This window comes from Homo sapiens, chromosome 1 (assembly GCF_000001405.40).
Source record: "Homo sapiens chromosome 1, GRCh38.p14 Primary Assembly".
Taxonomy (NCBI): domain Eukaryota; kingdom Metazoa; phylum Chordata; class Mammalia; order Primates; family Hominidae; genus Homo; species Homo sapiens.
The window spans coordinates 245,056,741-245,082,899 of NC_000001.11; the positions used below are offsets into that span (position 1 = coordinate 245,056,741).

Consider the following 26,159-nt stretch of genomic DNA (forward strand, 5'->3'; position numbering starts at 1 on the left):
TCCTGGCCAACATGGTGAGACCCCATCTCTACTAAAAATACAAAAAATTAGCTGGGCGTGGCGGCCCATGCCTGTAGTCCCAGCTACTCAGGAGGCTGAGGCAGGAGAATTGCTTGAACCCGGGAGATGGAGGTTGCAGTGAGCCGAGATTGTGCCACTGCACTCCAGCCTGGAGATAGAGCAAGACTCCATCTCAAAAAAAAAAAGAAAAAGGAAAACTTTAGACAAATTGAATTTAACAGAATTTAATTGAGCAAAGAACCATCTGAGAATCAGCTCACCCTTCCAAAAAAAGGGAAGTGATGTACGGAAAATGGAAGTGAGGTGCAGAAACAGCTGGTGTAGTTACAGCTCGAAGTTGGCCTCCTTTGAACAAGGTTTGAACCGTTGGCTGTGATTGGCCGAAACTCTGTGATTGGGGCATGAGTAGGTTATGTCTGTTGTAACATCCGGTTAGGTTGCAGTTCACTATATATGCGGAAACCTCTAGGTCAAGCTTAAAACATGTAAGGAGGCAGCTTTAGGCGAAACTTATATAGGTTGGTGCAAAAGTAATTGCAGTTTTTGCCCTTTTAATGGCAAAACCCACAATTTTGCACGAGCCTAATAATTTAACACAAGTAAAATTAATTTTAACAACGTATCTTATTTAACCCAATGTGTCTAAAGTGTTATCATTTCAACATGTAACCAATATTAAAAATTATTAATGAGCTATTTTGCATTTTCTTTTTCATACTAAGCTTTTGGAATCAGTGTGTATTTTACACTGACAGTACATTTCCATTTGCAGTAGTCACATTTCAAATGCATAATAGCCAGATGTAGTTGGTGGCTGCTGTTTGGTCTAGCACGGGCCTAGAATTTGTCTTTTCCCAATCTTGTCTCCTTCAAAAATCTTTTTTTTTTTTTGGTAATTAAAAAGTCGATATATCATGGTTGTACATATTTATGAGGTCCGTGGGCTATTTTGATACCTGCATACAATGTGTAATGATCAAGTCAGGGCAATTGGGATATCCATCACCTCAAACGTTTATCTTTGTGTTGGGAACATTATAATTCTTCTCTTCTTGCTATTTTGAAAATAGAATAAATTGTTCACTCTAATTTTCCTACTGTACTATCAAATACTGGAACTTACTCCTTCTATCTAACTAATATATTTGTTCCTATTAACCCAATATCTCTTTGTCCTCCTTCTCCTCTTCCCTTCCCAGCCTCTGGTAACCATCATTCTACTCTCTACCTCCCTGAGACCAACTTATTTAGCTCCAGTAAGTGTGAGAATGTGCGATTTGTGTTGCCCTCCTTCAAAACTCTTGCCTGCAATAAGAGTGAGAATGTGCGATTAGCCGTGCATGGTGGTGCACATCTGTAGTCCCAGCTACTTGGGAGGCTGAGGTGGGAGGATCACCTGAGTTTTGGGAAGTCAAGGCTGCAGTGAGCTGAGATTGCATCACTGCACTCCAGCCTGGACAACAAAAGCAAGACCCTTTCTAAAAATAATAATAATAATAATAATATCTTTGCTATATGAAAGAAAAAAAACAAGAAAATGGGAAAAAAGGAAATATACTTGACATGAGGATAGTACATGTTTTGTTGGCCCTTCATTTATTAAGAAGGAAGATGAGTAAGTGAAAAGAATCCTATATTCCACAGTTACTGACTTTAGGTTTCACTTTTAAGTTGATACTTATTCTGCAACCTCTTTCAGTGAAGAAATTTAAAATTCTTATTTAAAACGTTTTCTTTGTAAATAGGGAGTAAATATAATACCACTAAAATTATCCAGAGTGGTAAAGAAATTAACTACTCTAGTTAAGTGAATATTTGCGAAATTAAATTAACATTCAAACATTACAACTTTAATTTTGATAATTTTGAATGGAAGTATTTCGTAATCAATTACACATCCCTGTCTTAATATTCAGAGAGTATTGAATAGCATTTATACTTTTCTTAGGTTATTTGTGGAATTGAACTACGTTATGATGGGGGCAGGGAGAGGTGAATAACTCATATTTATTGAGTCGCTGCTCTGCCAGGAGATGTGCTTTGTATTATGATAGCTCTTCTTATTTAACCCTTAGTGTATCCCCCTTCCTGGTTCTTAGTGTTTGAAGGAAGTCACTGTGTTTTACCTACCAGGTAGGCTTATGCACACATTGATTAGGTAGGTGATCTCTCCAATCTAGTAAGTCACAGAGCTGGGATTTGAACCCTAGTGGTTTGGCGCTAGAGGCCATGCTTTTAACACTCTGATACTAATGTCAACTTCACCACAAAACTCTGCGGTAGACATTATCATCCCCATTTTACAGGTGTGGAAACTGAGGCTCAAAAGAGTTAAGTAACACTTAACGTCAGTTGGTACATGGCCAATGTTTCTTTTTCTTTCTAGAACTTTTTTATATTGGCCCAGGCAAGGCATTTGCCAGTCAATGAAACCATTTCTTTCATCTTTCTTTGGTTCACTTATCCTCCTTTTTCTTTCCCCAGAAAACATCTTTTATAATCATGAGGCAATATCGGAGTGATTTGGTTTCCTACATTACAAAATATGCTCTGAGATAATTTGGAGAAACCTGGCCTTTTCGGAGTTTATATTCTAAAACCATTGAAAACTTTTTTTTTTCCAGAGAGATTGGAACAATTATCAGGTCATTAGGATGCTGTCCTACGGAAGGAGAGCTGCATGATCTGATTGCAGAGGTGAGTACGGCGAAAAGGTTTCATTCAGCCAGCTCTCTGTGTGAGAGCTACTCCTTGTAATTAAAAACAATCCTTACCGGAAACTAAAAAAAAGTGCCCCAAACTACTGAATGTGCTCAGTGGAAATATTAGGATAACTATTCATATTAGCCAACCAACAAAATCTGAAAGAATTGAGCAGATCTTGAAGAAATGACTATGAACAAGTAACACAACTGATCAAATAAAGAACCCACTGTAGAAATGATCCTCTCTGTAAAATTAGTTGAAAAGAGGCCAGTAGATGCAAGGGGCTGACCGTATGCAGAAAGGCTATTGACAGAGACAGTAAGGAATTTTTATTTATTTGGGGAAATAAAACTAACTTTTAGAACAAGTAGTAAACAGAATAAAATATCAAGAATGAACTTTACATTGACCAGAGAGTCTAAGAAGTTTAAAAACGAGTCATGTGTAATAGTGGAGGTGAATGATCCCATAAGGCAGTGGATGAGCAGCCCACGATGAGAGTGCTTCATGCTCTGTTTGACTTTCCAGAAAGGTCTCTGATCTCATTTCAAATGCAGCATTCGGTTCAACAACAGAGACTTTAAGGGAAAAAAGCTACCTGGCCAGGAGAAGAATCTTTTCAGAATTGCTTATCTAGGCACAAAGATTTTAGTGGAGTCTGGGGATGGCAAAGGGGATAACAGGAGACAGGTGAGGAGGTGGAATTTTATCTCTTTATTTTGCACCTAGCGCAGTACCTGCTTGTTCAACATTAAGTTGGAGAGAAGGAATTGTGACCGTGGTGAGTCACTTAACCCCTGTTGAGTGTCAGTTTCTCCATAATAATAACTACTTCAAAGTTTGCTTCAAAGATAAATGAAAGAAGGTACAAGAATGCATGTTTTGAATCCTAAAGCATTATGTAAAGTTAAGGAAGGGAAGATTAGAAAGATGAGTCTGCTGCACAGATATTAGCACCTTGGTGACCAAAAAGCAGTAGCAATTTTTTGAAGCATTTGGAAATATTCAGTAAAGGAATCTAAGTTGTAAGAACACATTGTTTTTACCTTTTGGGATTCAATAAAGCTATTTTTACCAAGAGTAAGAGGAAAAGCTTGTTTTTCCTGAATTGATGCTCACATTAAAAAAAGATACTGATTACTGCCTTAAAGTGTTTCTGCACAAAGCTGGAATTAGTGTTAGGGAAAAGCAAGCTGGAAGTGTGGAAGAGGTAAGAACTAGAGGACGAATTTACAGCGAAATCATCATCATCACATGCTCAGGATAGTAAGTGAAGCAATAATGAAAAATACCTCCGAAGGTCAGAAAAGGAGGATCTCTAGAGTCTAGTCCCTTTATGGTTTGTTTGTATGTTTTAATCTCTATCAGGAGTTAGCAAATCATGGCCCCTGGCCAAATCCTGCCCACCGCCTGTGCATGTAAATAAAGTTTCACTGAAACACAGCTAAACTCATTTATTTGTATATTATCTATGGTTGTTTCCTGACTACAAGGGCAGAGTTCAGTAGTTGCCACAGAGACCTACAGCTTGGAAAGCTTAAGATATTTACCATCTGGCCTTTGCAGAAAAAGGTTGCCAACTCCTGATCTATGGGCTTCTGTGCCAAAGTAGAACAAATACCACATCTAGTACTAGAAGATCTGAGTTCAAACTCCACAGCTACCACTTATAGCCATGTGGCCTTCAATGAGCCACTTAATCCTTCAAAGCTTCGTTTCACATCTGCAAAAGGAGTATAATAACATGAAAATGTTTTTATGAGGATTAAATTTAATAACCGAGGAATCAACTGTTACTTGGTGGGCATGCAGTACATACTTGAGTTTGCTTGCACTGCTGGTGGCTCTCTAGGATAATAATCCCCACTGGTTTGGGCAGTTAGCCACAGTGGGTGCTTAGGTCCTAAAGTTTTATTTTATTTTTACCCTTTTTTAGGGACATGACACAACCTTTGAAAATTACAGATATTTAGAATACTTATGTACCAGTAGGGGTCACTGAGCTATTAAGCTCTGTAAATATTTTTCTATATTTGTATACGAACACAATTTACTCTAATTAAATTCTACTGATAAACAGCTTTGGGTATAACTACCTTTTAAGAACTTTTCCAAATAAATGGGTGGGAAAAAAGCACATAAAAAAAGCACAAATTTGAATTGATAAATACAAGTATGTATTTGTACATATTTAAATACATTTAATAGTGAATACATGTAAACACATTTAGAAAATCAAAGCCCCGTAAAAGTCAACATCTAGGGGTAAATGTCATATTGCTAAATGTTCTATAATAGTTTCAGAGATCAAACTATTTAAATGTATGTGTGTATATGCTTTAAAATTGCTCTATAAGGCTGGGCACAGCAGCTCACGCCTGCAATCCCAGCACTTGGGGAGGCTGAAGCAGGTGGATCACTCGAGGTCAGGAGTTTGAGACCAGCCTGGCCAACATGGTGAAGTCCTGTCTCTACTAAAAATAGAAAAAATAGCTGGGTGTGGTGGTACACACTTGTAATCCCAGCTAGTTGGGAGGCTGAGGGAGGAGGATCACTTGAACCTGGGAGGCAGAGGTTGCAATGAGCTGAGGTCATACCACTACACTCCAGCCTGCGTGACAGAGCAAGACTCTGTCTCAAAAAAACGAACAAACAAAAAATAGTCCTATAAAAAGTTGAAACCTTTGTAAAATTCTCTGGTTGTCATGTACTTGAACTTTAGTGTAGACACATTCTTTTCTCTTTAATTTTTATAACTTTCAGCCCTTTGCTTCCTGAAGATCAATTTCAAATATGGTGTTTCTCTTGAAATAGATCATTTTAAAAATCATTTAACTTTGATCCATGCAGTTTATATTCTATAAATAGCAACTTCCTGCAAATACTTTCTGCCTTTTGGAATATCACAAAAACTGGCAACTGTGAGAAGGATTAGTGAAAAATCTTACCGACATATAGGCTACCAAATAATCCTTCTTTTAATATTAAGTTAGCGCCTTCTAGGATCTTCAGGGTATGGGAGCTGGGAGGAGATAATGGCATTTTCATACAAATGGAAAGGTTATTTAGAGGTCTATGTCTTCTGAAGTTCCAACCTAAGTGGAATTATGGAGAACTTCAACTAATTACAAAGGAAAACTAAAAGATGATTTAAAAGTAAGACCTATGTTTGTCAGATTATTGACTCAGGCTTAGGCACTAAGCACGGATTATGACTTTTTATTGGGGTGACCATCTGCATCCTCCCCTTCCCCATCCTTGCCCTTTTTTGGTTGTAGATGTTAGGCAGCACCTTTGTTGGCTCCACATCTGTTTTGCTCCTAAGCGTGCTATGTTCTATTAACCATCTCCACCTTTCCCCGTGACTCCCTCTTCAATCTGTCTGCTCATTATATGAGGCCTCTTAACTTCTGTGCTCAAACAACTCTGCTTGGCCTCTGTTACCTGGGTGTAGGAGAGCTGGCTAGCAAATCATTACATGGATTTAACAAACCCAGGTCTACAATTACCTAATCTAGTCAACCCTGGCTTGCAGAAGACACCATCACAGAACTTAGTGACACCAGTGCCTTTCTCACCAGCCTGATACCCTTGGTGAGCAGTGCATCTGAGCCCTCCCATGGAACAGAATCCTCCAGTGAGTCTTCTGACTCATTAGATGCCCATTCTGCCCTCCCACTTCCGTCAGCTTGGTTTGCCACTTCACTCAGGGTTTGGTGTCGCTTGTTCCAGGTCTCCACTTCACTCAGGGTTTGGTGTCACTTGTTCCAGGTCTCACCCTCGCAGCAAGGGTGCCCCATCTCCTAGGGTCCTTGCCAGAGTGTTAAGTCTGTGTCCTGAGAAAGTGCCTGAAGTCGATGAATTCTTGCTTATCCAGTTTTATATTCCAGACCTCTTGGTCAAGCACTCTCATCCAATCTCAGGGGTACTCCCCTAGCTCCTAGTTCAGGAGCCAATTCCTATCTAATTCCTTTTGCGATTTTAGTGTATAGTCTTTTTCTTTCCTTATTAGGCCCAGCACTTCCTCAGCCAGATTATGCTGGGATTTAACACTTCATTATTGCCTGGAGCAGCCCATTGGATGGATGGCCTTGGCTCAAATATGATGGCTAGGATCATCATTCAATTACATTTCCTGCAACTGTAGATTTAAGAGGTGCATTTCATTGGGAGGCTGAGGTGAGAGGATTGCTTGAGCTCAGGAATGAGGCACAATGGTGGCCCACTGCTCTGCAGCCTGGGTAACAGAGCCAGATCTCAACTCTTTTTTTTGAGATGGAGTCTGACTCTGTCGCCCGGGCTGGAGTGCAGTGGCACAATCTCGGCTCACTGCAACCTCTGCCTCCTGGCTTCAGGTGATTCTCCTGCCTCAGCCTCCCGAGTAGCTGGGGGTTACAGGCACGCACCACCACACCCGGCTAATTTTTATATTTTTAGTAGAGACGGGGTTTCACCATGTCGGCCAGGCTGGTCTCGAACTCCTGACCTCAGGTGATCCGCCCTCCTCGGCCTCCCAAAGTGCTGGGATTACAGGCGTGACCAACCACGCCCGGCCCAGATCTCAACTTTTTTTTAAAAAAAGAGAAAGAAAATTGAATTTTCATGGCTGCCATAGTTGTCGTCTGGAAGAGCTGTAATGCGAATCAGGTGTTAAGTGTCCAGTAGAATATGACCAAAAGGAGTTGGCTGCTCTATATATTTTATTTCTAAACTCACTAGGGCCTACCCCTGGCTTTCAGGATTAGATCAAAGCATAAAACTACTTAGGAATGAAATGAAGGTCCTCATCAGATCCAAGGAGTGGGGCAAGAGTGAGCAGAAACTTGACCAGCACATAGTAAAGATAGGTCAGTGATAAGAACTGGGCCAGGCTTATCCTGGAATTCTGTTCTTGGATCAAAAGAGGATACCATGGCAGGGAGACCATGGTAATGATAGTTCTTAACAAAACTGTCCCTTTACATATGATGGTTGACCTCGACATCTGTGCACAGCCATCATTCTGGGATCTTTGTGATATTTCTGGGAGTCACTGTTTTCCTTCTGGGTTGGACTTCTTTCTATCCCAAGTTTTCCTCTTTCTAGTTCCTCTAGCATTTTAACATATTATTTGATAACTTCTTGGGAAAGAGTGCCTTGGGGGTAAAATTTTTGAGATTTGTATGTTTGAAAGTGATTATGCTAATCTTTGGCTGGAAATAGAATTCTACATTCAATGGATTTTTCTTCATTAAATGGATTTGGATTTTTCAGGTCTTCAGTAAGAGTTCTGAAGGCACTGCTCATCTTCATGTTCCTGGTAATGCTATTGAGATAGTGCAAATCCATTCTGGTTCCCAATCCTTTGTATATAAACATTAATTTTTTTTTTCCTGAAACTCTGGACAGTTTTTTTTCCCCAGAGTTTGAAATTTCACAAAGATTTACGTTGGTGTAAACACATATCTAATGTGTTAGGTACCTGGTGGGCCTTTTCAAACTAGTGACTTGTATTTTTTGGTTCCAGGAAGTTTTCTTGCAATTATTTTGTTTTCTTTTTTCTGTTTTTTGGAACTCCTATTATTCATTTTTGTGTTTCTGGACTGGACTAGTCTTTAACATTCTTCTTTTTTTTTTTTTTTTTTTTTTTTGTATTTTTAGTAGAGACAGGGTTTTTACCATGTTTGCCAGGCTGGTCTTGAACACCTGACCTCAAATGATCTACCTGCCTTGGCCTCCCAAATTACAGGCGCATGCCATCACGCCCGGCTAATTTTTGTATTTTCAGTAGAGATGGCATTTCACCATGTTGGCCAGGCTGGTCTTGAACGCCTGACCTCAAGTGATCTGCCCGCCTCGGCCTCCCAAAGTGCTCGGATTATAGGTATGAGCCACCGCGCCCAGCCTAATATTCTTATTTTTCACTTATTTTCCATCTCTGTCTCTGTGTTCTCTCTGGTAGATTTCTTGAACTTTGTCTTCCAATATTTTTATTGAGTTTCTCATTTCTGTTGTGTTTTAAATTTCCAGTAGCTTGTTTTTGTTCTTTGAATGTTCTTTTTTAAATAGCATCCTGTTCTTGTTTCAGATCTCTGAAGATAATAGTGTTACTTTATTTGAAGTTTTCTTCTCTTTGCATAATCTGTTTTCTCCAAGTTGATACCTGTGTCTGTTCTGGTCTTTGTTTTTGTTAGTAGCTTTCCTCAGTGTCTGATAAACCTTGGCTGTCAGTTCCTAACAAACACATGCATGGAACTTGTCAACTTTAAACTTCATCACTGGGTAATCTGGGAATCACCCGCATCGGAGTGTTGGGGATTTTTCTGTCGTGCAGGCTTGATTCTTTGGAATAGAGTGTTCAGTCTTCTGCTTGGGAGGCAAAAGCGTCTAGCTGCCAGTTCGGACACCTTCTGTTTACACTCTTTAGAAGGTAAATCTCGAAACTCCTGCAGGGATGGAGGGCAGGCAGTCACTTAGTGGGGAAAACTGAGAGGGAATTTACAGCTTTTCAAACATATTTTACCCTAGTTCCCCTAATTTTAGTTCCTGGTCCCTCATCCTCATTTCCAGAAGCAACCAATGCTTTTTGAGGATTCTTTACTCACTACTGTCTTGGGTTCAGTTTTCTAGATCTACTAGATTATTGCCACTCATCCATCTACTTCTCAGCTTCCAAAATTTTATTCCCATTATATTTTTTCCTATTCTTCCTAAGTAGGTGTATGATTATTTTAACAAATGTTTCTTTACTGCAATTTTAATAAGGTTTGAGAGAGAGTAAAGTTAGATGCAGATATACAGTTTGCCTCCTTAACACAGAAGTTTCATTGATATTTGATTAGTCAGAAAATAGCAACAGTACTCCTGAGAAAAGTATTAATAATGTAAATCTAGATGAGACATTGTAATAGTCTTTAGAAAGAGAGCATTAGTAAATGTTGGGACTAAAGCACTGATAATTATAGCATATAAGATGTAATACATTGGAGTGAATTAAGTATGCATGTGTAAATATTAAGTGTAACTACAAAAGAGTATAAAGTGAATGCATAACTTCCAAACTGATATAGAGGATAAAAGAATTAGAGGGCATTCTGTCAGTCCAAAAAGACAGAAAAGAAGCATAGAATAATCAGAGTATCTAGAAAACATAAGATAATGGTACTTATAATCATAATAGGCCAGGCATGGTGGCTCACACCTGTAATCCCAGCACTTTGGGAGGCCGAGGTGGGCGGATCATAAGGTCAGGAGACTGAGACCATCCTGGCTAACATGGTGAAACCCCATCTCTACTAAAAGTAGAAAAAATTAGCCGGGCTTGGTGGCGGGCACCTGTAGTCCCAGCTACTCGGGAGGCTGAGGCAGGAGAATGGCGTGAACCCGGGAGGCGGAGCTTGCAGTGAGCCGAGATTGCGCCAGTGCACTCCAGCCTGGGTGACAGAGTGAGACTCCATCTCAAAAAGAAAAAAAAATCATAATAAATGCAACTGGATTAAACTCACCAGTGACAAGAAATTGAAATTGGACTTCTGGAAAAATCCGATATTATAATACATCAACACATTTCTGCCATCTCTACCTTCACATTATAAATTTAACTTTCTCATCATTTCCACATCCATCACCTTAGTCCAAGCCTTGTCATTTCTCCATGAATGACTGCAATGGCATTTATTTACTTATTTACTTATTTTTCAGACAGAGTCTCACTTTGTCGCCCAGGTTGGAGTGCAGTGGCATGATCTCGGCTCACTGCAACCTCCACCTCCCAGGTTCAAGTGATTCTCTTGCCTCAGCCACCTGAGTAGCTGGGATTACAGGTGCCGGCCAACATGACCACGCCTGGCCCAATACATGCATTTTTAAATATTTGAGATGGTATTCAGTCCCTACTCATTTCGCTAAGTGAGGAAACCCATAAACAAATGTTACAGTTTTTTTTATATCTGTGGTCAGTGGTTTAATGTTACATTTATAGTGTTGAGACAACTATGATGTCAAAGTGTGATAAATACTCCCCAGTAACCAGTTAAAATAATGTAATGACACTAGTGAATCATTTCCTACACTTTTCATCTTGGATGGAAAGTATCATACTACTCCAGGCATACCACAAGCCCCGGAGGTCCCAAATCTCCATCTTTCATTATTCTTAATTGGTTAAGTATCCTTGGATTTTTTTTCTTTGAAACTTCGGAATTGGCTTTTGAGTTAGTAGAACAAGATCCACGTAATCTACACCCTGGTGAAGTGGGAATTTCTATCAGCCTGTGCCTGGACTCTATCATTGAGCTTCTGGAAGAGCCCTGGGACTTTACATCGTTTGGAATTTGACTGTATCAAGTTTCTCAGAGAATGAGAAAGGGTGGGAGTAATTATGTTCTTATTTTGAAGTAGTTGGTGATATGAAATGTTTTATCTGTTATTGTTCCTACACATCCTGCCTTTGGGAGATGGGGGAGAATGGAATTGATCTGCTCTAATTTTTATTTATGTTAGATGCTGGAATTTAATTATAGAGCTGATGGTACTTTGCAGATTAGTTAGTAATGGCTACCATCCAGCCATTACTTCGAGTAGCATCAGGTAAATTTGGGGCAATGAGGAGAATATATTGTAAAAAGCATATACTGAGAGTATTGCTTATTTGTAATTGGTAGGAAAACATTTAACGATGCCAAAGCCATGATCAGCAGCGGGAAAACGTGACCCAGGGAAATCTTCAAAAGTGGTTTTTTCTTTATTAGATAAATAAAACGTGTTTTTATATAGAACAGAAACAATCACGGCAATAGACTAATAAATACGGTTTTATTCCAGATTTCTTATTGTATAGGTAATATCCAGATTACAAAAAATTTTAAATAAATAGGAACTTCCTTTCCAACAATGCCATCACCTTAATATAATCATTGTTAATATTTTGGTACACTTCCTTACATATTATTTTTCTGTGTAGGTTTTTAACTGGACTGTAATTTTTTTTGTTGCTATCGTATTCTTTTTTTTAGAGACTGGGTCTCACTCTGTTACCCAGGCTGGAGTACTATGGCAAGATCATAGCTCACTGCAGCCTGGAACTCCTGGACTAAAGTGGTCCTCTCATCTCAGCCTTCCAAATAGCTGGTACTACAGGTATATGCCACCACTCCCAGCTAATTTTTTTTTTTTTTTTAGAGACGGGGCCTTGAAATGTTGACTAGGCTGGTCTTGAACTCCTGGCCTCAAGTGATCCTCCCACCTCAGCCTCCCAAAGTGCAGGGATTACAGGTGTGAGCATGTGAGCCACCATACCTGGCAGAACTATAATCTTATAGTATAATTCAGTAGGTAAAATTCTGAATCTTGCTTTTTTCCACCTAATTATATCACAAATTATATCTCCATGTTATTACAAAGCTTTCATTATAAAAATGCATGCTGATTAAATTGCACAAGAAAAAAAAGGAAGGGAATGATCTCTCTTCTGTGCATCACTCAGACACAACCAGAATATTTTACCTTTTTCACTCACTATTACATCAAAATGATTTTTCCCTTCTGTTATCTAGTTTTTAGAAACCAACGCTTTAAGAAAGAAATCCTGTTCTACTATAACATGGATGAAACTTAAGGATATTATGCTAAGCAAAACAAGCTACAGTTGACCCTTAAACAACATGGGGGTTCAAGGCACCGACCCCCGTGCAGTTGAAAATCCAAGTATAATTTTGCCTCCCCCAAAACTTAAACTAATAGTCTACCATTGACTGGAAGCCATATCAATAACATACACAATCAATTAACAAAGATTTTGTATGTTATATGTATTATTTACTGAATTCTTACAATAAAGTAAGCCAGAGTAAAGAAAATACTATTAAGAAAATCATAAGGAAGCAAAAATATAGTTACTATCCAACAAGTGGAAGTGGGTCATCATAAAGGTCTCGTCCTCATTGTCTTCACACTGAGTAGGCTGGGGAGGACGAGGAGAGGAGGGGTTTGGTCTTGCTGTTCCAGGGTAACAGAGGCAGAAGAAAATCCATGGAGAAGTGGACCCATGGATTTCAAACCCATGTTTGAGGGTCACCTGTAGTTATAAGTATTAATGCACAAATACTGCATGTGAGGTATCCAAAATAGCCCAACTCCTAGAAACAGAAAATAGAGCAGTAGTGGCCGGGGAATGGCGGAGGGGAAAGGGGAGCTGCTGTTCAATGAGTACAGAATTTCAGTTTTGCAAGATGAAGACGTTCTAGAGAGCTGTTACACAACAATGTACATGTAGTTAACACTGCTGTACTGTACACTTAAAAATGGTGAAGATGGGCTGGGCATGGGGGTGCACCCCAATAGTTTCAGCTACTCGGGAGGCTGAGGCTTGAGGATTGCTTGAAGCCAGGAGTTCGGGACCAGCCTGGGCAACATTGTGAGACCCTGTCTCTACAAAAAAATTTTTAAAAATTAGCCAGGCTTGGTGGTGTGTGCCTATAGTCCCAGCTACTTGGGAAGCTGAGACAGGAGGGTCACTTTTGCCCAGGAGTTCAAGGCTGTAGTGAGCTATCGTGGCACCACCACACTCCAGCCTGGGCAACAGAGTAAGACCCTGTCTCTAAATAAAAAATAAACCAATAAAGTATACAGAAGGATGTGCATAGGTTATATGCAAATAATGTGCCATTTTATATGAGGAAGTTGAGTATTTGCAGATTTTGGTATCCATGAGGAGTCCGGGAACCAATCCACCATGGATACAGAGGGACACCTATACTAATATCATTAATATTTTCCATGCCAATATTCTACTATAATAGGAGTGCAATCGCTTCCTAATATTTAATTATATGGCAATGACCATATTAATAAATAGAAACATAATATTCCATTAAATGAATATTCCATATTACATATCCATTCATCTATTGGTAAAGGTTGCTAACAATTTTTAATATCATGGATCCTGCATGATAAACATTATTTGAATAAAGTATAGGCCCTTTTCAGATGCCAGAGGGCCTTGTGAAGCAAGCCAAGGCAGTGATGGGTTACTGAAGGGTTTTAAATGAGAATAACATGATGAGATTTGCATTTTATTTTATTTTAATTCGTATTTGTTTTTATTGAAGGAGGTTGTACTTTAGACAAACCAGTCTGATGGTAGTAAGCAGTTAGATTGGAATAATTTATAGTCATCCTTTCCCTGGGTCATATCTGACAGCTTGGAGCCCTTTGTACATTTTGGGTAATTTTTTCCTAAATGGTTTTATTTATCTCTTTTATTCAGTAAAACTTAATTGCCATGTTTCTATGATGCTGTGGTCAGAATGTATGTGCCCCTTCAAAATTCATATGTTGGAGCTTAAACCCCAATGAGATAGTATTAAGAGGTGGAGTCTTCAGGGGGCAATTAAGTCGAGAGAGTAGATCCCTCACGAACGGGATTAGCAATGTTATAAAAGGGCTGGAGAGAATTAGCTAGTTTTTGCCCTTGCATCCCTCTGCCATGTTAGGACACAGTGCTCATCCCCTCTGGGGGCCACAGCATTCAAGGCCCCATCTTGGAAGCAGAGACCAGGCCTTCACCAGACACCAAGGCTGCTGGTACCCTGATCTGGGACTTCCCAACCTCCATAACTGCAAGCTGTTAGGTATGCTGTTTATACATTACCCAGTCTAAGGTACTTCGTCATAGCAGCACAATTGGACTAAGACCGAAATTGATCTTCGTGGGACTATTTCTATAACAAATACCTGACAATGTGGAAGTGGCTTTGGAACTGGGGGTCAAGGCTGGAAGACTTTGAGGTGTATGCTAGAAAAGCCTGGATTGCTGTGAACAGAGCACTAATGGTGATTCTGATGAGGGCTCAGAGAAGAGATCTGTAGAGAGAGCCTCAATCTTCTTAGAGATTATCTAAGTAGACAAGAACAGAATGTTGGTAGAAATATGGATGGCAAAGGCAATTCTGTTGAGGTCACAGACATAAATGAGGGATGAGGTATTGGAATCCGGAAGAAAGGACGTCGTTGCTATAACATGGCAAGGAACTTGTCTGAATTGTGTCCGTGTCCATGCTTTATGGAAGGCAGAACTTAGAAATAATGAACCTTGGATATTGAAATTGGCAAAGAGTTTCTAAAAGTGGTAAGTTCCTGGCATTGACACTTTTGCACATTGCTAATAGCAGTAGAAAATGGTGGTATTCATACTCCCTTCCTGGACGGCATTTTAGCAATACTTATCAATAAGCTAAAAAAAATATACAAGCTCATTGATCAGTTTCTGGAGGAGATACTGTATGGAGAACAAACAGAAAGATTTTACTTCAAAGATGTTAGTCACACGGTTGTTTGTAACAACAACTGGAAACAACCTGAGTGTCCATTAACACAAAAATGGTTCAACAAATCTTGGTCTGTCTGTGGAATGGAATGCTGTGCAGTCATTACAAGTATGTCGTGAAAGACTGATGCCACCACACACCTATGAGAGTGGATAAAATCCAAAGCACCGACAACAACAAATGCTGACAAGAAAGTGGAGCAGCAGGAACTCTCCTTCACCATTGGTGAGGACAGTGCAGCACTCTCTTAGAAAACGAAACATCCTCTTACCACATAACCCAGCACTCTTCTCCTTTTATTTATGCAAAGGAATTGAAAATTTATGGCCACACAGAAACCTGCACACAGATGCTTATAGCAGCTTCATTCATAATTGGCAAAACTTGGAAGCAACCAAGATGTCCTTTAGTGGGTGAATGGATAAATAAATGTGGTACATCCAGACAATGGAATATTATTCAGCACTAAAATGAGTTATCAAGCCATGAAAATTCATTGAAGAAACCTTTTTTCTTTTTTCTTTTTTTTGAGACAGGGTCTCACTCTGTCACCCAGGCTGGAGTGCCAGTTCTCCCACCTCAGCTTCCCAAGCAGCTGGGGTTACAGGCACATGCCATGCCCAGCTAATTTTTAAAAATTTTTGTAGAGATGAGGTTTCGCCATGTTGCCCAAGCTGAGCTCAAACTCCTGGCCTCAAGTGATCCACCCACCTTGCCCTCCCAAAGTGTGGGATTACAGGCATGAGCCACCACGCCTGGCCTCAGAGGAGTTTGAGGGCAGTGAAACTACTCTGTGTGATACTATCATGGTGAAGACTTGTTGTTATGCATTTGTCCACACCCATTGAATGTACAACACCAAAAGCGATATAGTTTGAATATTTGTCCCCGCCCAAATCTCATGTTAAAATGTAATCCTCGGTGTCAGAGATGGGACCTGGTGGGAGGCGTTTGAATCATGGGGGAAGATCCCTCAGGCATGGCTCGGGCCGTCCCTTGGTGATAAATGACTTCACACAAGCTCTGAGTTCACACAAGCTCTGGTCATTTAAAACTGCGTGGCTCCTCCCTCCGCACTCTCTCTTGCTCCTGTTCTGGCCATGTGATGTGCCTGTTGCCTCTTCACCTTCCACCATGATTGGAAGCTCCCTGAGGCCTCCCAAGAAACCAAGCAGATGTCAGCACCATGCTTCCTGTACAGCCTGCAGAACTGTGAGCCAATTCAACCTCTTTTCTTTATAAATTACCCAGTCTCAAGTGTTTATAGCAATACAAGAACAGCCTAATACAAAGAATTAAACCTAATGAAAACTATGAACTTTGGGTAATAAAGAGGTATCAATGTAGCTCTATTAATTTTTTTTGTTTGTTTGTTTTTGAGACAGAGTCTCACTCTGTTGCCCAGGCTGGAGTGCAGTGGCATGATCTTGGTTCACTGTAACCTCTGCCTCCCAGGTTCAAGTGTTTCTTCTGCCTCAGCCTCCCGAGTAGCTGGGACTACAGGCATGCACCACCACACCCAGCTAATTTTTGTAGTTTTAGTAGAGGTGTGGTTTCACCATGTTGGCCAGGCTGGTCTCAAACTCCTGGCCTCAGGTGATCTGGCCACCTCGGCCTCCCAAAGTGCTGGGATTACAGGCATGAGCTACTGCGCCCGGCCAGCTTCATTAATTTTTAACACATATACCACTCTCGTGGGGATGCTGATTGTAGGGGAGGCTGAGGATGGGGAGAGCAATCCAGGGGACGGGGCGTGGCATATGGGAACTGTCTGGACATTCCACTTAATTTTGCTGTGACATAAAACTACTCTTAACAAACTCAAATTTATTAATTAAAAAAAGACTAATGGCTTGATAAGATGTTCACAGTGTTAAGTAAATAAAAAAAGACGCTAGAATTCTATTTCTTGCTAAAATATATATATACATGTATATATAATACATACACAAATATAATATGTGGATATAGCATTGTATTAATGAATATAAAACTAAAACAAAGCTCTCCAGCACTGTATATACAGAAGTGATCTGTAGATGACAGGATCGAATCCCTGCGTGATTTGTATTCTTTGTGCTCGTCTCTATTTTTCACTGTTCCACAAAGAACATGTATTATCTCTGTAACAAGAAAAAGAAGAAAAGAAAACTGCATTATATCATTCAAAAAGTTGTCTAGTGGTCACAAAGACACTATTGAAGATGCATGTTGAAAGTTTGAATAAAGTTGGTTTTTAAAATGCAAAAATAAAGAGCAATATTTTTAAATTAACGTCGTTACATACATGATCTGAAACATAGCTGTGGACGTAGTAAAGTTTATATATTTAACTTGACCAAAACTCCTTTAGGGGATTTTCTTATTAGGGAAAGGAGGGTCACTTTTTGTTCATCAGTATATTCAGATATTTATTGTGTTAACCACTGCTCCTTTGCTTAATCACAACCAAGAATAAAGCTTTTCCTCCAATCATATTGCAACACAACTTTAAATCATTGTTTTTGGTCTGAGTGGGGTTGAAGAGTATCTTAGTGAGATGATTGCTGCAACACTTGCTGCAATCACCATCTCTATCAAATACAATAAAACTACTTGGCGTGGGAGCGGCACTCACCCTTAAGTAGAGAAACTGGAACTGGAGAGGATGAAACAATTAGTGTAGCTGGTGCTCCTGAAGCCCCACCCTCAGAGGATTAAAACAGGGAAATTAATGGTCTGACAGGCACTGCTGCAGCCTTTCCCCCATCTCTTCAAATTGGAGAAACTCTCGGTTGGAAGTGATCTTACTAAGTACCGGATTTAGCCACCTGTTGATTCTTAGACTCTCTGGTGATTCATCTGTTTTTAACACTTGCACTTAAATAGGAAAGGAATTTATAACCCAGAAGACTCGTGCAGCCTCGTGGTTGCACAGCAGCCTCTGGAATCTTTAGAATAAATAATTTTTCTAAAGTAAGTGGCTTTAAAATTTTTGTTTTTAAAGACAACATTTTTGGTAGATGCCAATTAATTATTGTGATTTTGTTCTATTCAAGGTAGAGAAATATTTTCTAAATTGTGTTTATGTTTTGGTTTTGAAACATAGTTTATGTCAAAATTTGTATCTATACTATTTAGAGCCTAATGTGAACTATCTCATGGTTTTTATATTTTTTACTACAAACAGTTTTTAAACATTCACATGTGTATCTGATTTGGTGACCTGGAACTAGCTGAAATGCAGATGCTTTATAAACCATCTTAACTACTGACATTATCTTGTTTTTTGTGAAGCATGAAATGGTTCAGTTTATTGACTGATTGTTATGTCACTGGGGAGAAAGGAATTTTCACGGTGTGTTTTATTGTGCCTATTTAGTGGGTTCAGCATTAAAATAAATAATGCTTTTATGAGAAAAGAGATGGCCTGATGATTTCTCGATGCAAGTGGAAGTTAAGAACTCCAGGCTGTGATCCCGTCAAAACACCTGCCGGACCCTGACGCCCTCAGATAGGCACTTAACCTCTCTGTGCCTGTATTTCCTCAAATCCAAAATGGATTAAGAAAATTGATTTAGACCAAAGTAGAGTGAGAAGCACAGTATTTGCCACATGCTTTGAGGCTGAGATAAATGTTGATATTATTAAAAAGTCCCACAGTATTTATTGAGATGGCTCCATATTGGGGAAGAGGAGGAGAGAGACTGTGGAGTGCCGGAAGGCACTGTGTTAGCCTCCAGAATTTGGGCCCCTTTGTGTGGCAATGAAGGCAGTATATTTTCTTCAGGTCACCTACTCCACCTTAATTCTTTGCAGGAGGAGAAGCCAGGCGTATCAGGGCCTTGGTTTTCCAGGTGAGCATCTGCTGGCACACTGTTAAGATGAATTCCCTGCGAATGGTACTTTTAGCAGGCTACACTCGAGGGATCTTCTGGCAAAGACGTTTTTCCTGTACATTCACAAACGCTGCCCGGCTTACTTTTAAATTATTACTCCACGTTAGCCCTTCCCATAGAAGAAACAAACTAGACTTAACTTACTTTGCCTCATTCATGTTTGCAGTAACAAGATGTATTTGTTTTGTGAGTTGCTTCTGTCTTTTGAAGGGAGGGATGTGGAGTTTGGTGGATATTTGTTACTCTCGCCTTTTTTTCAGTCCAAAGAGGCCATGTGGGGAAACAGCAGAGGTGGAGGCATCACCGCTAACCCACATAGCCTGCCCTCTAGACATGGGGCGAGGCAACAAGCGGGGAGGGAGAAGGTGTTGAATGCGCCTAGCAATTCCGTGCGCTATCTTATTTAATTGCCACATTCCACGTGGCATTTTACGGATAGGCGGCAGAGGCAAACTTCTGTATAAACAGGTGGGTCTACACTGTGGGTCGGGGAGGATGTGCCTGAAATTTCAGCACCAGCGATTGAGTCTTTTAGGAAAAAGTGCCATTGCATGTCATAGAACCAGAAGTGTGTACACTGCTGGTACAAATCATCATCATCATCGTCATGATTGACTCTCAGAGTTCACAAAGCACCTTCATATCTCATGGAACCTTCACAACCATCCTTTAGGTTACTGGTCCCCCTGTTAGACATGAGCATGCTGAAGCTAGAGGATGAATTTTAATAACATTCTTAACTATTATTGGTCTAACATGGGGAATATATTGTGATTTTTCTCTGTAAGAAAGGTAATGTCTTTTTTATTTACTTTTCATACCTAGTACTGTAGAACATCTGTTTTTTAAAAAAGACTCTGACCAATACAGAAAGAAGTCAAGTGGATTTTCCCAACACGACTTTGCTTTAAGTGAAGAAATGCAATGACTTTGTAGTCTTTTCAAACATGTCTGATATAATATATGGAATCTTTCTTGAATTCATTTCAGTATAATTGAGTTTTCTCCTGGAGAAAATAGGTCCCAATTGCACCATTTTTTCTGCATTTCTGCATCAACTCTGTGAAATACATTTTTTTTTTTGGTTTGTTTGTGTTTTTTTGGAGACAGAATCTTGCTCTGGAGTGTAGTGGTGCGATCTTGGTTCACTGCACCCTCCATCTCCTGGGTTCAAGAGATCCTCCTGCCTCAGCCTCCCGAGTAGCTGGGACTACAGGTGCACACCACCATGTCCAGCTAATTTTTGTATTTTTAGTAGAGATGGGGTTTCGCCGTGTTGGCCAGGATGGTCTCGATCTCCTGACCTCGTGATCCGCCCACCTTAGCCTCCCAAAGTGCTGGGATTACAGGCGTGAAATACAGTTCTGAATTCTGAATATCTGCTCTGCTTGATGATAGTGATTCAAACTTGATCAGACTTCTGCTTGATGATAGTGATTCAAAGTCTTTGGCTAAAAATATGTCATATACACTTAGAATATATGTTAGTTATAATGTTTGCTAGAGCCGCTTTGATAGTGCACCACACAGAGTGGCTTAAACAATAGAAATTTATTGTCTCACAGTTCTAAAGGCTGAAAGTTTAAGATCAAGGTATCAGCATGATTAAACATCTACCCTATTCTTCTTGTTCTTTTTTATGACATTGGAATATACCATATTTGAAAAATGCATTTTAGAAAAACTAATGGAATCCAAATAAAGTTTGGAATTTAGTGACTAATAATATATTAATATTGATTCATTAGTTATGACAAGTGTACCATAATAATGTAAGAGTTAACAATAGAGGAATTGTATCACAAATGAAATTACAAATTATGTTACAAAGCAAAAGTAATCAAAACAGTGTGGTACTGGCACAAAAACAGTCATATAGACTATTGGAACAGAATAGAAAGCCTATAAATGAAGCCATGCATAAATGGCCAGCTAATCCTCAGCAAGAGTGCCAAGAATACACGATAGGGAAAGGATAGTGTCTTCAATGAATGATGATGGGAAAACTGTTATTTACATGGAGAAGAATGAAATTGGATCCGTATCTCACACCATACACAGAAATCAACTCAAGCTGGATTAAAGATTTAAATGTGAGACTTGGAGCCATAAAACTAGAAGAAAACATAGGGAAAATGCTCTTTGACATTGGTCTGGGCAATGATTTTTTGGATATGATACTAAGAGCACAGGCAACAAAAGCAAAAATAAACAAGTGGCACTACATCAAACTAAAAAGTTTCTGCATGCAAAAGAAACAAGGAGCAACCTATGGAATGGGAGAAAATGTTGCAAACCATACATTTGACAAGGGATTAATATTCCAATACATATAAGGAACTCAGACAACTCAATTGCAAAAACAAAAACGACCTAATTAAAAAAAACGGAAAAAAGGACCTGACATTTTTTCAAAGGTGATGTACAAATGTCCAACAGGTATATGAACATCATTGTTCATCAAGGAAATGCAAACCAAAACCACAATGGGATGTCACCTCACCCCTATTGTAATGGCTACTATCAAAAAGACAAAAGTGTTGGTGAGGGTGTGGAGAAAAAGGAACCTGTTGGTGGGAGTGTAAATTGGCACAGCCACTACGGAAAACAGTACGGGGGTTTCTCAAGAAACTAAAAATAGAATTACCATATCATCCAACAATCCCACTTATGGGTATAAGTCCCAAAAGAAATAAAATCAGAATCTCTAAGAGCTATCTGTATTGCCATGTTTATTGCAGCATTATTCACAGTAGCTAAGATATGGAAACAACGTGTCTATAAACAAATGAGTGGATAGTATATGTACACACACACACACGTATGTAATGGAATATTATTCAGCCTTAAAAAAGGAGGTCCTGCTATTTGCAACAACATGGATGAACTTGGAGGACATTATGCTAAGTGAAATAAGCCAGACACACAGAAAGACAAATACTGCATGATCTCTGTTACATTTTCAAAAGTCAAACTCATGGAAACAGAGAGTAGATGGGTAGTTAACCGGGGGTGGGGGTAGAGGAAATGGGAAAATGTTGGTCAAAGAGTACAAACTTTTAGTGATAAGAAAAACAATTTCTGATGTACAGTGTGGTAACTATGGTTAATAATTATTCTATACTTGAAATTTACTAAGAGAGTAGTTCTCAAGTATTCTCACCACACATACAAAAAAGGTAACTAGTGAGTCGGTGGATAAGTTAATTAGCCTGTGTGGTAATCATTCCACAAGGTATATGTATATCAAAACATCGTGTGGCACACCTTAAATATATGCAATTTTTATTTGTCCATCATACCTCAGTAAGACTGGAAAAAAATAGAGGAAACTGAGTGAGAGAGGTATATGGGAACTCTGTATTATATTTGGAACTTTTCTGTATATCTAAAACTATTCTAAAATCCAAAGGTTATTCAAATATAAAATCCTTTTATAATATAAAATAGTGTCTATATTAAACATTCCATGAATTCTGTACTTAGAATTATTGTATAATTTTATTGTTTTTAATGCCATTGCTTATACATGTTTTTGTACTCAAGAACAAATTGGATACGGCCTCTAGAGGACAGTGTTGGGTCATAGAAAGATTTTACAATTTCTGCCCAAGTTGAAGATGGTCATAATCATTTTTCTTCTTCTTTTCTAACCACAAGTCCTGTTTATTCGTTGTCCCTCTGTAAAAACAACAATAACAAAGAACACTTATGACCCCTCTGCTGTTCTGACTAGTTGGCTGTTTTGTTTTAACTTATTTTCGTATAATTTTGGTTCCACAAACATCTATTAGGCAAGAAAGATCTGCGGAGTTGGCACCATAATGTTCACATCCCTGAGGGTTTGTGAAAGTTGTGAGGGAACCCGGGGAAGCGATATGAGGCGTATATTATGTGTCATTTGTGAGTTCTTCCACGATGGAGACGGAATTATAGAGTTGAACTTCCTTTGGAAAAACAAACCACGGTTCGTAGCTTGATCAGGGTGCATGTAAGCTAAAGAGGGGTTTTGGTCTTTTAAAGGTTGAGACTGCCTGCTCTACAGTGGTTTGTTGGTGGTGGGAGGAAAGGAAAAAAACCATTGCTCTTGCTTCTGGAGCAAATTTCTGGAGTAATCAGAATAGCAACTCAACATTTTAATTTTAAAATTCCTCCTCCGGAGATAACCTCGTAGGATTGCCATTGTATTTGCCCGGGGCTCCTGAGGTGGGGAGTTGCAGAGTGCTGCTCAAGTGCGTCAGAGCCATATGAACATTCACCTGCAAAATGCTCGCCTTGGACTTAGAGGCAGCTGAAGACAATTGTTCATGAATGGATGGGCTCAGAAATTCTGAAACACACAATTCTGTCATTGAATGCGCTGAATTTTCTGCCGAGAGTGGAGTCTGAGGGTTCTACCTTGCTAGGTGTGAATCTAGTATAAACATTAAAAAATAGGAGTCATTTGGATGATGGTGTGTTCCACTTAGCAGCAACCTATAGTTTTTCGTTTGTTTGTTTTTGCTCGAAGAATAAATCTGTCCAAAGCTCATCTGCTGAATTGGGATCTTTGAGCCTTTTAATAGGAGTCTTGAGAGGGAGTGGAAAATGTACAGCTCCTTATAGATAGCCCGACATGAAAGTTAAGGTCAATGGTGTTTTGTTCAGCCACTCCATCCAAGTCGAACCCACGGGCAGGGATCTGTTTTGTTCTCATTTACTAGTGCTAAGTGCCAAACATTCTCTTTCTCAGGTATAGTCTTCTAATTTAGTGGTGGTGTGACAAAGTTCTATTTACCATATAGGTACTTAATACGTATTATGATGATTTAAGATGTAGTTGGTCCTTGAGATCGTGATTGGTCCCCTCAGCTGGTCCCTCACTCAGGATTCCTTATCTCAGGGAAAAGCATCACCTTATCCCAGTGGTATAAGTCAGAATCTTGGGAGTCATCCTTGAATCCTCTGTTTTTTCCATCCTTACTCATAATGAATGCAGGACCAGGTCCTACCAATTTCACTTCTTAAATATTTTTTGAAGCCATCCATTTCTCTCTCCATGGCCGCCACTCCAATCTAAGCCCTTGTCATATCTGCTTAGACTACTGAAGAAGCTGCCTCACCCTCAAGCAGTGTGCTCTTCCAAAACATGCATCTATGAGACCGTCACTGATTTCCCATTGTTCTCAGGCTAGCAACCTTATCACTGTCATGGACAAGAAGGCCCTGCCGTCGGGCCCCTGTCTCTCTTTCTAGCCTCATCTTGAAGCCTTCTCCCTGCTCCTTGTACTCCAGCCTCCTAGCCGCCAATGTGTCAGCAGAGAGTCTTCGCGTATTCAGTTTCCTCTAGGTGACTGTCTCTCCCCTGCTGTCTCTGTCTCATTACCTTCTACTCATACTCTCTAAATCAGCTGGAGTGTTATTTCCTCATGGATGACTTCCCTGGTCTCCTGGTCTAAGAAGTGTTCTTTATTTTTTTATTTTTATTTTATTTTATTATTTTATTTATTTTTTATTTTTTTATTTATCTATATATATATATTTTTTGAGACGGAGTCTCGCTCTGTCACGCAGGCTGGAATGCAGTGGCCTGATCTCGGCTCACTGCAAGCTCTGCCTCCTGGGTTCACGTGATTCTCCTGCCTCAGCCTCCTGAGTAGCTGGGACTACAGGCGCCCACCACCATGCCTGGCTAATTTTTTGTAGTTTTAGTAGAGACAGGGTTTCACCGTGTTAGCCAGGATGGTCTCCATCTGCTGACCTCGTGATCCACCCACCTCGGCCTCCCAAAGTTCTGGGATTACAGGCGTGAGCCATCGCACCCGGCAATTTTTTTATTTTTTATTTTTTTATTGAGATGGAGTCTCGCTCTGTTGCCCATACTGGAGTACAGTGGTGCGATCTCGGCTCACTGCAACCTCCATCTCCCGGGTTCAAGTGGTTCTCCTGCTTCAGCCTCCCGTGTAGCTTGGATTACAGGTGTGCGCCACTACGCCCATATAATTTTTGTATTTTTAGTAGAGACGGGGTTTCACCATGTTGGCCAAGCTGATCTTGAACTCCTGACCTCAAGTAATCTGCCTGCCTTGGCCTCCTCAAGTGCTGGGATTACAGGCGTGAGCCACCACGCCCGGCCGAGTGTTCTTTATTGGCTGTTCTTACAGACCCATGCTCCTTCCCCTCACTGTACTTACATCAGTTCACAGTGTCTTTGGTTGCTGTTTCTTGATTAATGTCTGTCTCCCTGATCAGAGTATCAGCTGTGCTCCAGTTGAATGATGAAGGTAAATCTTAAAAAGATAAAGTAAAGGACCATCTCTGTGAGCAGGGGTCACGCCCAAGTGTGCTCACCATCCAGAGTCTCTAGCACTTGGCACAGTGCTTGGAACAACTAGTTGCTGAATACATTTGTTGAATGACTAAATGGCTATTTACTTATTGAATGTTTAGGTAGAGGAAGAAGAACCCACTGGATACATTCGATTCGAAAAATTTCTTCCGGTGATGACAGAAATACTACTAGAAAGAAAGTAAGTAAGTAAATGCAATTGTTAAGGCAAAGTAATGGTCAGAATTATGAATCCATTCATTTCAGGACGCTTGGCTTTTTCACTTTGTGTGTTATACTCAAGCAGTGTGTCCTAAGGTGGCCTCCCTCTAACCTTTCAAGCTACTTCTGAACTGGCAGTTGGTACCTGCTTAGAAATATCAACCACACTAGTGTTATCCTAAGCAAAGCATAATTAGAGGGTAAATAAGCTATAAAGATCGTAAATCAACATTCTTAGTATCTTCTGTTTTGAATTATCAATGATAAATAAGAATCCTAATATTTTTCTAGCAAAAATATAGCATTAGCTTACCATAGTTGGTTCATCATAGAAGTCTTGTGCCCAGATAAATTGATGTCCAAAAAGCTAATAGATAACCTCAAACATGTCAGTGATTTTGCACTAAATATTTCCTGTGGGGCTGAGGTATTTTCAACTTTCATATCCAGAAATCCAAAAAGATTTCAATGAGGCAAGTATTATCATCCCAGTATGTTAGCAGCTTTTATTTTATTTTATTTTATTTTATTTTATTTTTGAGATGGACTTTCGCTTTTGTCACCCAGGCTGGAATGCAGTGGCACCATCTTGGCTCACTGCAACCTCCACCTCCTGGGTTCAAGCAATTCTCCTGCCTCAGCCTCCCGAGTAGCTGGGATTACAGGCACGTGCATGCCACCATGCCTGGCTAATTTTTGTATTTTTAGTAGAGACAG

General features: G+C 39.8%; 1 protein-coding gene across 22 annotated transcripts in view; it reads left to right on the top strand.

The window, feature by feature from the left end:
* DRC8 (dynein regulatory complex subunit 8) overlaps positions 1-26,159 on the top strand; it is a 155,548-nt gene that overhangs the window by 87,059 nt on the left and 42,330 nt on the right. For 21 of the 22 annotated variants that reach the window (NR_026587.1, XM_017002543.2, XM_017002542.3 and 18 more), the window contains 2 exons: positions 2,646-2,718; positions 25,343-25,422. Coding sequence is in view for 21 of the 22 variants with exons in the window: in XM_017002543.2 (XP_016858032.1) it covers positions 2,646-2,718; positions 25,343-25,422 (153 nt within the window). In the remaining variant the exon portion in view is untranslated. Of the gene's footprint in view, positions 1-2,645; positions 2,719-18,833; positions 18,872-25,342; positions 25,426-26,159 lie in introns of those variants that run through there. The other variant, XM_017002545.2, reaches the window with a different exon arrangement.